Source organism: Homo sapiens, chromosome 3, assembly GCF_000001405.40.
Source record: "Homo sapiens chromosome 3, GRCh38.p14 Primary Assembly".
Classification (NCBI taxonomy): domain Eukaryota; kingdom Metazoa; phylum Chordata; class Mammalia; order Primates; family Hominidae; genus Homo; species Homo sapiens.
The window spans coordinates 132,174,986-132,190,654 of record NC_000003.12 but is presented as its reverse complement, the minus strand read 5'-3'; the positions used below and the strand labels follow the sequence as shown (position 1 = coordinate 132,190,654).

General features: G+C 38.4%; 1 pseudogene; it reads right to left on the bottom strand.

The window, feature by feature from the left end:
- Window positions 13,842–15,321, bottom strand: PSMC2P1 (PSMC2 pseudogene 1; annotated as a pseudogene).

The following is a 15,669-nucleotide window of genomic DNA, read 5'->3' as shown; positions in this document are numbered from 1 at the left end:
ATTAACCATTATAATTAATCACTTTTACAGTGCCTGATTCTTAATGAAGACTCAATAAATGATGCCTTACCACTACTACCAACTCATGCTACCCTGCACATACCATAGAATTTAAATGAATTCAAGTGAGAAAGTGATCCTGTAGGCTTTTGGTAATCTGCAAGGCACCAAAACAGTACAAGGGGAAAAATTCCTGGTAATAACTGCATTCATGATTTTCGAAGAAAATGAGAAAAAAATAGTAGATATGTATAAAAGCATTTTGAATATCTGACTCCTGTAAAGGGTTATAAATTGCTTAGCAGGGTTAAAAAATACATTCTCTTTGGGGAAACCTTACATTAGACATGCTGTGAAATTAAGACTTTTAGTGACATAAGAAAAACTTAAAAGTAGCTATAGAACATAGGTTTATTACATGTTGATAGACGTTCTAGAATGTACATTTTGAGACAATTCACAGTAATTATTCCTTATGTTTTCTTATTCATTATCTTAGAATTAAGAGACTATTTTTGAATTTGAAAGCTATGTAAAAAAGAGTGAGGTTCCCATTGTTTTTCATGTACCCTAATTATTCCAGAGAAAGTCAGCCAGGGGCTAAGAATATTTCATAAAAATAACCAGAAATCAGTTTGTTCTTATCTCTGCCCCCACTTGCCTAGTGGGACGTTGGTTTCCTCCAAAGGGTCCTGAAAGTCCCTGCAGCAGATCTCAAACGTGCTCTCCACTCCCCTGCCAAACCTGCTTTTAGCCTTTTTCCTCTCATGCTCTGATCTGCTGTGGAGATTTCTTCCAGCCCTGCCCTGCCACTGCCTGATGGAGTGGTTGCTGTAGAAGGCTGTTATGCCTGTCCAAAGGCTGCTGGCACTGACCTCATGTGTCCTGTAATGTCACCACAGAACCTGCTGCTGCTAATGTCCCCTTGATGGCCCAGGGAGATTATAAACAAACAAAGCTATATTTACTAACTTGTTTACTGCAGCTCTCTTTCTCCATCATTTAGACTCCAGTCTTCAGAGGTTAGGGAAAAATCTGAGAGAGAATCGCATCCTCTTCTCAGGGTCCTTCCCCCCACCCCTCTAAGCCTGGGCCCCTGTCCTTGAATCACACCCGGCCCGCCTTTTCCCCTGGGCCCTAGTATTCTTCAGACTTGTCCTGACAGCCTAAATCCCAAGGTGAACGCAATTTGGAACTATTCTTAGACCCCTGCTGCTCTATTAATAAAGCCCCAGTTGGCAATTAATTTTAAAAATCAAGCGGATCTGTTTATTTGGAAAACAACCCACCTTACAAAGAAGTTGACAGAGTTTCTAATTCCAATAGATCCTTATAATTCCCTATCAGGAAGGCTCCCAAACAGTGCACCCTGGATTGATTTTACATGAGATGCATCTCACCATGGGTTCTGGAGTCTACCTGGATTTGAATCTTATCTCTGCCATTGATTTACCTGTGCAACCTGGGAAAGGTGCTTAAGTTCTATGGAATTTATTTGTTTATAAAATAGGGATTAAGAAACCTTCTTTTCTATTTTTTAATGTCTGAAAACCATTGTTTTATAGATTTTCTCAGTTTTAAATACAGTAGACTTTATTTTTGAGAACAGTTTTAGATTTTCAGAAAAGTCGAGGAGGTAGTATAAAGTTCCCACATACCCCATACCATTTTCTCTTTTATCAATATCTTACATTAGGATGGTACATTTGTCATAATTAATGAATCAATATTGACACATTATTATTAAGTAAAGTCCATAGTTAATTTTATTTCTTTAGTTTTCCCCTAATGTCCCTTTTCTTCTTTAGGAGCCTATCCAAGATGCCGCATCACATTTAGTTGTGATGTCTCTCTAGGGTCCTCTTGGCTGTGGCAGTGTTTTGGACTTTCCTAGGTTCTGATAACCTTGACATTTCTCTTCTTCTTCTTCTTCTTTTTTTAAAATATCTTCTTTGTAGGTTGGTTGTGAGCACTAATTGCTATATTTGAAACGTTTAATAGAGAATATGGCCCATAATGAGACCTTAAAATAACTTGAAAGAAGACAAAGACCATTTTAACCTATAATAATGAGGGAGGGCTTTATTTTTGTGAATTCAAAGGAAGGACAGAAAATGGGATGGATACCTCAAGTGTACTTTAAAATGTAAAATTTTGGCTTTTAATTAATATTTGTCACAAGCAATTCATTTTCCTAGTACAAAGAATGTGAGGAGGATATTACTAGTTGAGGTGGGACAAATTAGCTAGCTGCTGTACCTTTAACCTGGGAGGTACCCATCTTAGGGTTGACAGGTGCAGCAGATAAAAATACAGGACACCAAATGAGATTTACATTTCAGGGAAACAACAAATAATCTGTTAAGATAAATATTTCTGAAATGTTGCATGGGCGTCCTGTATTTCATTTGGCAACTCTAATCCTTCTTTCTCGCCTTGGGAGATTCTGGCACCATGTGACTTTCTGCTCTGGACATTTTACCAGATGTCTTGATGATTGACTGTGTCTCCCATGTCCACGTCAAAAGATCAGTAACAGTTACCCGGATTCATATATCATGACAAAGAAAAGCAAAACCTTCTAAAACTAAACTCTGGAGTGTGGGTTATGAGCCTGCTCTGTTTAATAGATGAGGAGATACTGGCTGGAGGGCTTTTACCAGGCTCAAACCTTGAGCATCATCATAATTCTTAGTGCTTAAAAGGGCAGCTCAGAATATTCAGCACCTGCCTTTGTGGCTGAAACCAGCCCCAGGAAACACTTGATAAATAGTCATAGTTATTAATATTTGCCCCTATATCACCTAGTTCCACTGATCACCTGTAGCCATCTGTTCTAGTTCTGCTGTGTGAGAAGCTTTGATGGAAATGCCCATTAATCACAGCATCACAGCTGGCCTTTTGAGGATTGATGGCAATTAGTTGACAATATTTATTTGAGAAGCTGTATTACTTTGTGATTATATTACAGAACCATGAGTAAATCATGCTCCTCCCTACCCCTTTTCATTAATAATAAGAGCCACAGAGACATGCAGAAATTGCCACCATGTCTTAATTATCTCTCTAGGAAGCTACTTTTCCTGGACAGCAGGAACATGTTGGGAGGGGGCTGGGCAACCTTAGTCCTGGAAATTGCTCCTAATATTTCCTAGGAACATGACAGTTTGGAGCTTCCTTGGGGCCTTTAAGTGGCCACCTGCCTTCCCATAGTAATAGTAGATCCTAAGTGGGCAAGCTAGAATAATTAATAATAATTCTTAGGGGTGGGGTTATGGAGATATTGGCCAAAAGACAAGAGAAATAAGTTTAAGAGGTCTATTGTACAACTGTACAATAAATGTGATTATAGTTAATAACCTGTATTGTGCACTTAAAAATTTCTAACACAGTAAATATTGTTTTCATCACAAAATAAGTATGTAATACGTTATAATTAACATATTACAACATAATCAATTAGCTCATTATAATCAAGCTAATGCTTGATTTAGCCAGTTCAAAATATATACATTAATCAAAACATGATGTTATATACCATAAATAGATATAATCTCCATTGGTCAATTAGAAGATAAGTACTTCGAACACCTCACTGATGGAAGTTTGCAAAAGTCAATAATAAAAATTTGCACTTGTAGGGGTCCTTGCATGACTCCTTCATGCATTTTATCCCTTTGTGGCTTCATAGCAATTGCTGTAATCCCCATTGCACAGATGAGCTAAAGTGTGAGGATTTCCTGAAGATAATTAAACTTTTAGGATTGGAGTTTAGACCACCTGACTATGAAACCAGGCCACATTCTCTCTGATGTCCCTGACTTAGTTTTGTGTCCACTTTCTAGGGAGAGAAGTTTGTTTCTTCAGCACTTGAAGAACAATTTTATGATCTCAGAAGAAGGTGTCATTCCTATTTGGCCTGATATTTAGGTTAAGGCATTATGGAAATCAGCAGATATTACAAATTATCTACTCCCTGAAGCCAGTTTTTAAACAACTACCAGCACACCATTGCTAACCCACAAAACAGGGCTTATCTCTGCTCTCAGTCTATATAGTTATTATTTTCTAAAAGAACTCTTTGCTAAATTTGCACTGTTCAATATGGGAGCAACAGGCACATACGTCCATTGAACACTTGAAACATGGCTAGTCCAGATCGAGATGTGCTGTAAGTGTAAAAAACACACTGGATTTTCAAAGACTTAATACAAAAAATGCAAAATAGTTCATTAATAATTTTTAAAATGTTAATTACACGTTGAGGTAATATTTTGGATATACTTAAATAAAATAGAGTGTTAAGGCTAAGTTCATGGTTTATTTGTTTTTTTTCTTACTGTGGCTTCCAGAAAATGTTAAATTATATACATGGCTCACATTATATAGCTACTGGATAACAGTGGTTAGGCTATAAGCTTCCTGATGACAGAAACCATGTTTCCTCAGTAACTAGCACCCCATGTCTGCTACATAGTAGGTACTCAATAAATATGTGTTGACTAAATGTATGGAAAGGGGTGGAGGAAAGAAGGTGGCTATATAGGCACCTTATATGGGGCCTTATAACCCATTGAAAAGTATAACTGTTAGATTTGGAAATGTATATATAGAACTCATACATGCAGACCAAGTTTTCTGCCAGAGGTGTAACACCATCTGTGGTCTCCTTTTAGAGGGCTCCCTGCTTCTGTAAGAAAAGATTTAGTGACTGAAAACTTAGCACCTTAAGAGGGCATCTGCCCCTGCCCGTGCTCCAACAATCCCCACTGGATAGCCTTGTGCACACACACACACACACACACACACCCCAGCAGCTGCTTCTTTCTTGGTGAGTAGTAACTCCAGGTTCTACCTGACTTCCTTTTTCTTGTTGGCCTCCCTCCAGGATCCTCTCTCTTTGCCCAGCTCCCATAGGTTTGGTAATGTATTAGCATGGTCTTCTGGGATTTTGAATTAGTTAATTCCCAAGGCAGTACTGCCCCCTTAGTTGCTCCCTCAGCTTCAAATATTTCAGCTCTCAAATAAGGGAAGGGTACTGTTTGACACCTAGACCAAGCTTTGTAGGTAAAGACCATTGGCTTAAGGCGGCATCCAGGGATACTACTCAGAAAGAGGAACAAGGACAGCATACCTTCTCCATTGTCAAATGGCATTTATGCATGGAAATGCTTCCCTCCTATGGAATTGAATCTGTCTCCCAGAAACTTCCACCCATTAGACTATCTTCCTTTTCTTCCTACTCAACCTCTCATCATTTAATAAAAGTAGTCAATATTTATAGAAACATTTCCATGAGCCATTGGCTCTCTTAAGACTCTTATATCACTAATCTTATTTAATCCTCACAACAACCTTATGAGGTTGTTAGTATTATTAATTCCATTATAAGGATGAAAGAATTGAAGTTTAGAGAAGTTAAGTAAACTTCCCAAGGTCATCCAGAAAGAGTGGCAGAACTGGGATCGACTCAAGTTCTGATTTGAAAGTCTATTAGCTGCATTTCTATACTGTGTTTTTTTTTGGATCAGCTAATTCTACATTCTGAACTTCTCAGTCTCTTCACGGCTTCCTTCACAAATCTCTTCCTGCTTTCATATGATAATCTTTCAAGAGTTTGAAGACCGAAGTCTCTTCCTCCCTAAATACTAGTCATAAGTCATCTATTTTTTTCAGAGTAGTCATTCTTATTGTGTTTCCTCATCTGGTTCTGGCTGTCTGACCAGTCCTTACACCTTAGCTCAATATTTGTCATGTACCATTTTAGAATTAGTTAGTATAGAGGACAGGTTGGTATATGAGAAAGTAACAACATATGCTCTTAAATAATTTTCACATATACTGTATCTTATTTGAGTCTAACAACAATCTTGAGAGATAGTCTTAATATTTTTAGATTTGATCACAGTGGATGAGAAATCAAGTGACTTATCCAAGGTTACACAGAATGAATTAAATAGAGCTTTAAACTTAGATCTTCCTATGAAAAGTTCATCTTTCCTTTTACTTTAAGTACACTAATAAATGATGTTGAGATCCTTATGCATATCAGCACATTGCTCCCCTGGGACCTTGGACTCATGAACTCCTGCACCAGAGCTCCTTGGAAAGCCTGTAAGACAACTTTGACAGCCCGATTCACTCTTTAAGAAATATTACAAAGGCTTTGCCATTTATTTATAAAGATGCAAGTTTTTGAAAGAGCAACTGCATCTTTCTAAAAAGGCTCACCTTTGGTGGAGAAGGTCACTTGGATGGCTCAGAAAAGAGAAATGAGACTGAAGGAAACCATTACAAATGCTGGATGAAAACGTATAGCCATGAAGGCTCCTGGTGGAGAACCTTATTTGTAAAGTACCTGTTATAGTGTGGGCTCTCAATAATTATCCATTTGAAGGACGGTGTTCACAGAGCCTTATAAAAGTGAAGACTAACCTTTCTCTGGATAAGGAGCAATCAAAGCCTAATAAGTTGAGATCATTTCTCAAACCTTAGAAATATTTAGGGACATAGCTGAAGCTAGAGCTCAGATTTACTTATTTGAGCCAGCTCTGGCTTTGGTTATAGCTTATACTCCAGCAGAACTCCTTAGAAAGACCTTTTGAAGGGTTTGTAAATGGTTGCCGTGGTAACAAGGTTCCACAGGCACCATTGGGATGCTGGTAGTGGTGGTGAAGCTGTAATCAGTACATTTGACCATTGCTCCTAGTAACACAGCTGCCTTATTTTTCCATGGGAAAGGACTGGGGTATGCTCAGCAGCTAACAGGTTCAGATAGAAATGAAACAGCTCCATGAAAGGTATCTATAAAACCACCACTGACTTACATCAATAGGCCCATCTACTAAGTTTTCAGCACTTTCAGAAGTAGTCTTTAGTGGCTCTCTGCCACTAGAGTCACGATACAGTTAATTAGCATTATTTTCGCTGTTAGATGAGTTCTCACAACTTAAGCTAGTTTGCAGCCCGTTTTGCCTCCACTAATTCACTGGGAAACAGTAGTACAATTGTTCCTGGATGGTAATGTGAATACAGGTTGCCCTGATTTTATATCCCACTTAACCACAATGCATGTATATTGATAAGCATAATGGATGCCAATATACTGCTTTGCAGTTTACCAAGTACTTTTATAATCATTATCTTATTTCATCCACACAAGAGCCCTGGGAAGTATTTATTACCCACATTTTATAGATGAAGAGAAGAATTGAGCCTCAGAAAATGGAAATGTCTTATTAAAAATCACATGGCTTGTAGTGAAGGGGCTGGGACACGATTTTAGGTCTTTTCAATTGCAAAACTCTGTACTTACTACTTCACTGTAGTGCAGTACAAGGCCCTTTGCATGTTGTCTCTGCCTTTTTCTTTCTGTTCTTTCAGAGCCATCGAATCCTCTTTATTACACGCATTGTGGAACAATTTGCCTAGTTCTCCAACCACCATTCTGCTTATCAAATGGCTGCCTTTGGGTTCTCATCCAGAACTCTCCTTTAGCTCATTGTCTCCCTGGAAAGTGTTTATTCATTTAAAAAACTCAAGTAAAATATCACCTCCTCTACAAGACATTTTTATAGCCTCTTGTCTTTATTACTAAAAGACTCGTTATTCTAATGGCATTTGTTTTCCCATGTGTCTCTCCCATTAGGCTATGAACAGATTGTGGGTAGGACCTAGTGCTCTTTTCTCTTGTATTGCCAGGACCCACTTTAGCTTCTAGAAACAAATAGAAATGGAATAAATACCTTTAGAAATGAAAGGCCCACATGTACTTCTAATTATTAAACATAATTCAGTTTCATTTGATTTATGTCTGTGTCATTCCTTTCTTTGCACTGACATGTCCTTGCAGAGGGTGATCTGTGTGGCCTCTCCTGGTGGCAAGGCATTCCATGGAAGTGGTTTACAAGAATACTATGAAGTATATCATGAAGGCACATTTGAATTTCCATGTGATTATCACATGGAGATTCCTTTTCCTCAGTGGCCAAGATTATTGATATTTATTATTGCTTCCCACTCTTCAGTTTTCAGTTTATAGCTCCTAATATTTTTTTTTAAGAAATGTGTCTTAAAATCACTGAGGACAGCATTCCATTTACAACCATTGTTACTTGGAAAAATTTGAAAAATAACTTGTTCTTGGTTCAATAATGCTGAGCAATTTACAGGTTTCTCATCCCTTTATAAGAATACTAGAAACAATTCATTTTTTTCTCAGTAAAAACAAGTTTTTCAGTTCAGTCATTGTGAATCCCATACTTGTTCTTCTCAGTGAAGATAATGGACTGAGATAACACCACTTTTCCTGAATGAGAATAAGAGAATCACAGGCAAGTTGCCATTGGATTACTACAGCTTTGATTTGGCTAGAGTTTTCGTAGCTCTCCTCCTTTATATATGATTATAAAAAATTTATGTTTTCTCATTTAAAAGTGTCTTTTAGCCAACTACCTGCTAAGAATCAGAATATAGGAGATTTAAATATCATGAAACAATTAGTGAATGCTGCAGACATTATGCATTACCTTCCTTTAGTCCTTGCTAATAGGACCACAGTATAATTCCTGGCAGCAATATGTCCAGTTTCAATGGAACACTTAGGATTTGTGTAAACATATTATGGCTTTCTGGCTCTCCTTTGCCAGATAATTGCTATCTCTGCCTCCTTGGAAGCTAGGGATAGAACTGGAATGTCAATGTCCTAAAGGAAAAATTCTCTAACTTGGCTGTTCCCACCCCTATTGCTTCTTGCCTTGGGACCTTCAAGTGACAAGTCTATGATAAAACACTGAATCCTTCGGAAGGTGGAGAAAAGGATAGTAGTTACTGAATTTTTGAAGACACATTTCACCTGCTGAGCCACCCATAGATTTTTTTACCTCTGGGTTTTTAAACAGTAAACCATGGATGTCTTTTAAAGTTGAAGCTACTGGCTGTTAGACTTTTTGTTATTTGTAGCCTAATGCACACTGACTGATGTAATAAAAGTGAACATCATATTTCCACATCTGTAACAGCCACAGACTCTAACCCAGGGTAAGGACAAGTCTCTGTCAGATTATGAGGTGCTCCTCTACATTCTCTGCTTAAGTATGTGCCACCCATTTATTTATAAATTCAGCCTACATTCATTTGCTTTTAATACGTGTTCTTTTCTCTGCCATCTAGGATCTTCTGAGCATTTTGTTTAATATTTCCAGATAACAGTGAGTACTAGGTGAGCCTATTTCTATCCCAGCATTATAATGAATACTTTACTTTTCAGACTGTATGACTATCTCTTTGGTCTAAAGCAGTACTATCTAATAGAAATATAATGAGGGTGACATGTAATTTTTCTAAAAGGAGAAAAATACATGTACATTACAATACAACAGTAATATCTTATCCAATGCAATGGTTAGAGTGAAACGTAATCCTACCAAACAATAAAGTTGTGTTTAATGGAAAAAATATTTTGCATTGCTTCAGTTTTAAAATGAAAATTAAATAAAATTAAAATTGTAGTTCCTCCATTGCACCGGCCACATTTCAAGGGCTCAATAGCTACATGTGGCTACTGGCTACTGTATTAGATAGGTCAGACCTATTCTCTAAACTCCTTGAGGGCAGGAACTGTGTTCTATCTAGGTTTTACCTTAGTTACTGCTTCTTCTGGAACCCTTTTCAGGTACTCCAAGATGAGGTTAAGTGCACCTGTTATGTGCTCCTACAGCCCTCTGTGCTAACTTCTATGGTGGGGTGCTTATACAGCCTGTGTTGCAATTACTTATTTCCTTGCAATTACGTTCATTTTCTGAAGATCTGTGTCTGATTCTGTGCACTGGAGTCTGCCCTACTCCCTCAGTCTGGTTGGTGCTAGGGCCTGTCTCGGACTTGCTGAGTTTCTTCTGCCTCCATCAGCAACTGGTTGTATGATCAGCCTCACTGCAGAGGCAATGACTCCACTGGCTTCCTGAGCCTGGGCTCCCCCTGGAGTGCTTCATCATGGCTTATGCCTTATCTTGATTTACATGTTGTGGTCTCCTGATATAGACTGGCCCAAAACCATGCTTGTACAGTCTTGGGATTTCCTGTTTCACCTGCCAGACTAGATTTCCTCCCAAGGCAACCTCAATTTACAATTGTTTGGGTTGTAAGCAACAGGGCACTCCTCCAGGGGATATTTTCTTGTAGTGACTCTAGATGTGAATAGTTATTTTGACAACATTCCAGCAGATGGCAGTAAAGTGTTTTGAGCAAGGGTTACCTTTTTCTAATTTGCACAAGGTCCCCGAATAAACTAGCGTCTGTGCTGCCAGTAGAGCCCACCTGTAAACCTAGCAGAAGATCTAGTTGCAGCTTCTTGCTCCTTTCCTCTCACCCCTTATCCTTGTAGTTAATCACACCTGGCCAGGTATAGAGGAGATGTAGTAAATTGGAAAAGCCTCATATTTGGGGAATGAGATACATTTCTTTAATCTCATTTCCTGTTGCCAAGCATCACAGGATACTGCTGCAGGGACCACCTCCAGCTTGCCTCAGTCCTTGTACTCTGCTTTCATTCCCTTTCTTTCTGTAGTCATGTGTAGACAATGCCTACACTCTAGGATGATTCTGATTAAGCTGCTTGTATGGAGCATCAGTTTCTTTATGGGCACCAATTGTGTTTATCTCTACAGATTGGAGGAACATTCTGTACAGGATTTGTTTTTTAAGAAATCCATTTAAAACCATTAGAAGGAAAGAGCAGAGAAATGAAAGGGCACTATCTAGTGGTTCTAAGAGAAGGAAGGTGCTGAAATGCTTATGATGCTAATTTTCCTTTTAGTCTCAGTTGTCTGGAGTAGAGGAATGGTATCTAATTGTTAGAGATGTGAGAGATCTATAAAGCTGTGAGCATCTCTATCTGCGGAAGTCCATCATCAGGAAAAATGCATTTCTTTAATTACTGGCTCAATGAAGATGCATTTCAAAGTGCATTTGGGAAGGAGAATCTATAACCACCCTCCTGTAGGCCTATACTCCAGCCCTCAACTCAGTAGGTTCCAGGGAAGAAAGCACATCACAACATGTGGCATTCACTCAGTCTGTTCTGTTTCACAGAGCTGACTTTATCCCAGATAACCGCCCCCTTCTCCCCACCTTTTCTGGAAATGCATTTCTGCTTAAGAGAGCAAACTCAGTCATTATCTGGTTTGGTTCCTTTGGGGTTGGACTATTACAGATTATTTTTTGATGGTTTGGGGGTCAACTTGATAGAGGGATACGGCATCATGACATACTGTTCAGGAGAACTGCCTGCTGATTTGGCATGGTGGAAATTTTCTCAACTTTCTTTCTAGAAGCTATGTAACAGATATGGCTAAGGTTAAAGGGAATTTGTCACATTGTGAGACATTTTATGGGTGTGAAATGGTTCTAGCATTGGTATTCATTGTCAAGTAGTTATGTAGCTTTGGAAATTTGTCCTTTTTGGATCCTGCTTCTCTTACATTAAATGTCAGATATGAAAGAGAAATTTCTGGAATTCTGACTTTGCATGTTATGTAATCTGGAACATATTTCCACTGCAAATATTGAACTTCTAAGAGGAAGAATAGCAAATGCCTGGCACTTTGCTGCCACCTTGCCCATGATCAATTCCACTACTCTAATTCTCTTGGTCTAGGCTTAGGTGTGGACTCAGAATCTTTCTCCACACAGTGCCTAGGAGGCCACTACCAATCACTTGAAGTTGACCTTAAAGGTGGAAGCTTCTTGCTGATCCTGGATGGTGAGAATTCAAGGTTCCACACTGTTCATCACATTGAGGTTTCCATTTTCTTATCAGCTTCTAAGGACAATTTGGTTTTCATGGCAACAGTTATCTTCACAGACTCACCAGGATAAACTCTCATATTCAATTTTCAACATATGTCAAGGAATAAATATCTGAATGTGAAAACAAATGAAATGAAATGCAGCAAACAGTAACAATAAGGACAGAGGCTATATCAATATTAATGAATGATGTTTGTGCTATGCTATATTAAGTAGGAGAGAGAGAGGATTTATAAAAAATCTTAAATTTGGTCTGGAAGAGCATCCTCACATCTCAGTATAGGGAAAAAAGTCCCGCTTGGCTAATAACATGTTAGCAGTTCATAGTCTCTTTTCTTCAGGGACAAGAACCACTATGTTCAAGGCCTTACATCCTATGTACGTTTATGCTAATCCTTGAATCTTATTTAAATGCAGTATTATATAGTCAGTACTTATTCATGGTATCCATTTTCACTGGTGATTCTCAGACTTTATGGGTAACAGAATTTCCTAGGGAGTTTAAAAAAATATGATTTTGTGGGCCCCATCTCCACAGAGTTTGACTTAATAGATCTGAGGCGATGCCTAAGAATATGACTTTTAAAATCAAGTCCCTCATATTTCTTAGGTCATAATTTGCAAAATGGTCACCATGCTCAGGTGAAATATTTCTCTCTTGAGCCTAAAGTCAAGTATGATGGCTTTCATTTGTCATGTAAGTGGCCACATGGTGCAATAATTTAATTCTGTGGTGCTCAGCTTGCGTTACATGTTAAAGAGTAGATTCAGGAAGCTGTATGGTGAACAGTGGTGGTTCTTGAGAATGACCCCTAATGGCAAAAATATTCATCTATCTATGTGATAATATTACACTTTTGGTATCCCCTGATGGAAAAACATATGGAATAATAAGATGCTATGAGTTCAGTAACACTTACAGCCATCTAGATTTCATTAGTCCCAACAGCACTTATGAACATTCCAAGGTCTTGGTGTATATATGTTTGAAATATATCATGTAGTTAATCAACACATGGTAGATTAGAAGACCTCATGAAAGAATTTCATATGCTAACCCATTCCATGTGTCCTCCTCTCTACCCTAAGGGGTTCTTGACAGAAATTTGAATTTTTCAGAATAAGGAGAAGCCCAGAAGACTTGAGTTTGAATTATACAAATAATGGATACTGGCTGAGTCATATAGTTACTTAATCCATAAACCTAAATTTCTGTAAAAAGATGATGACACATATATATTAGATATGCTTTTATTTCCAATTCAGAGGGTACATGTGCAGGTTTATTTCATCGGTATATAGTGTAATGCTGAGATTTGGAGTACAATTTATCTTGTCACCCAGGTAGTGAGCATAGTACCCAGTAGGTAGTTTTTCAGGCCTTGCCCCCACTACCTCCCTTCCCCTTCTAGTAGTCCTAAGTGTCTATCGTTCCCATGTGTACCCAATGTTAAGCTCCCACTTATAAGTGAGAACATGCAGTATTTGGTTTTCTGCTCTTGCATTAATTTGCTTAGGATGATAGCTTCCAACTGCATCCCTGTTGCTGTCAAGAACATGATTTTGTTCTTTTTTATAGTTGCATAGTATTCCATGGTGTATATGTACCACATTTTCTTTATCCAATCCACCATTGATGGACACCTATGTTAATTCCATGACTTTGCTATTGTAAATAGTGTGGCAATGAGCATATAAGTGCATGTATCTTTTTGGTATAATAATCTATATTCCTTTGGGTATATAGACCATGGTTCAAATGGTAGCTCTGTTTTAAGCTCTTTGAGAAAGGTGATGTTAATTTTGTATAGTATCTTGCAGGTGCTCTCTTGATTTCTTATGTCTGGATGTCTACCTCTGTAGCAAGATTAGGGAATTTTCTTGAATTATTCCCTCAAATATGTTTTCTAGGTTGTTTGTTTTCTCCTTTCTCAGGAATGCCAATAATTCATAGATTTGCACAATACCATTACATAATTCCATACTTCTTAAAATCACTTTACATAATCCCATACTTCTTGAAGACTGTTCTTTTTTTCAATTTTGAAGCCATTTTTTTTTGTGAAGTGGTTATTAACAAGTCTATATAAGGTTAGGATTTCCAATTAAAAGTTTTAAATTGAAAGCCTTCAAAGTTCAGTTGTATGTCATGTAGTGAGGAGTAGCACTGAATTTGGCATAAGACTTAATGACCTTACTTACAGCTTCCAAGAGATCCTTCTCCAAGAGATCCTTCTCAGTAGCAATTTTTCACCGTGCTCTGATGGCAAACATACCAGCTTCTGTGCAGACACTTCTAATCTCAGCAGCAGTGCCATTTGGACACAGTCGTGCTAACAATTCAAATCTGATATATCTTTCAACACTCATTGAATGAGCGTGAATCTTAAAGATGTGGGTCCGACCCTCTAGATCAGGCAAGCTAAATTCAATTTTTCTGTCTAATCTGCCTGGCCTCATCAGTGCTGGATCCAAATTATCAGGTCAGTTAGTGGCCATCAGCACTTTAATATTGCCTCGAGGATCAAAACCATCAAGCTGATTGATCAGTTCCAACATCGTTCTCTGCACTTCATTGTCACCTCTAGCACCATCATCAAACCAAGCCCCTCCAATAGCATCAATTTCATCAAAGAAGATAAGGCAGGCTTTTTTTGTTCTGGTCATTTCAAAGAGCTCATGAACCATTTGAGCCCTCTCACTGACATATTTCTGTACAGCTCAGATCCAATAACTCGAATGAAGCACGCATCAGTCTGATTAGCAACTGCCCACACACAGAGTGTCTTCCTGTACTGGGTGGATTAAAGAGCAGCATGCCCTTGGGAGGCTCAATGCCAAGATTCACAAACCTCTCTGGATGAAGTAATGGGGTTTCAACTACTTCTCGCAATTTCTCAATCTGCTCCTTACAGTCACCAACATCACTGTATGTGACAGGTTTTTCCTCCACCTGCATCATGGTAACTGTTGGGTGAGTCTTAGGAGGCAATGGAATGTGAATTTGATATTTATTTCTGTCCACACCTACTCTCATCCCTTCTTCAATGTCAGTGGGTGCCACCTGATCACTAAAGTCCATCACAAACTTGGCAAACTGCTTTACATTGACAATGTATTTTGGGTCCTCTGAATCAGCACTGATTATCTTTGTACACCTGGCAACCTGTAAAGGTTGTTTACTCTGGAGTGTCTGCTTATCTGCAGCCAAATCCCAGAGTGCTGGTGGAGCCAGGCCAGTGTCAGATTCTTTAATACCAGTGAGCTCATTAATTTTCTTGAGAAGTTGCTGAACGCCATCTTCGACTTGCTTGATCTGCCTAAAGTAAGTGCTGTGACCATAAGTTTTCAGCAAGGCAATATCCGCCTCATCCAGAACTTGGATGGGCTTGTCATCCTTCTCATCATCTTTGGTCTTCCGCTGATGGGCACCAAGGTAATCTGGCATTTTAGCAGTTCCAAATGCCTCTGCTCCTTACTGATTACATAGCACCTTCCTTTCTTCTGGTGGTGTCTGAAGACTGTTCTTTTTTAAAAATTATTTTTTTCTTTATTTTTGTCTGACCAGATTAGTTCAAAAGAATAGTCTTCAAGCTCTGACAGTCTTTCTTCTGCTTGGGCTAGTCTATTGATAAAGCTTTCAGTTGTATTTTAAAATTCCTTAGGTGATTCCAGAAGCTCTGATTGATTTCTTTTTAAGATGTTTATCTCTTTCTTCATTTCCTGGATTTCTGTAGAAGTTTCTTTGTGTTGATTTTCAACTTTGTCTTGGCTTTTGTTGAGCATCCTTGCTCCATGGTTTGAATTATTTATTATTTCTGAATTTCCATTTTGGTCAGGGAACATTGCTGAACAGCTAATGTG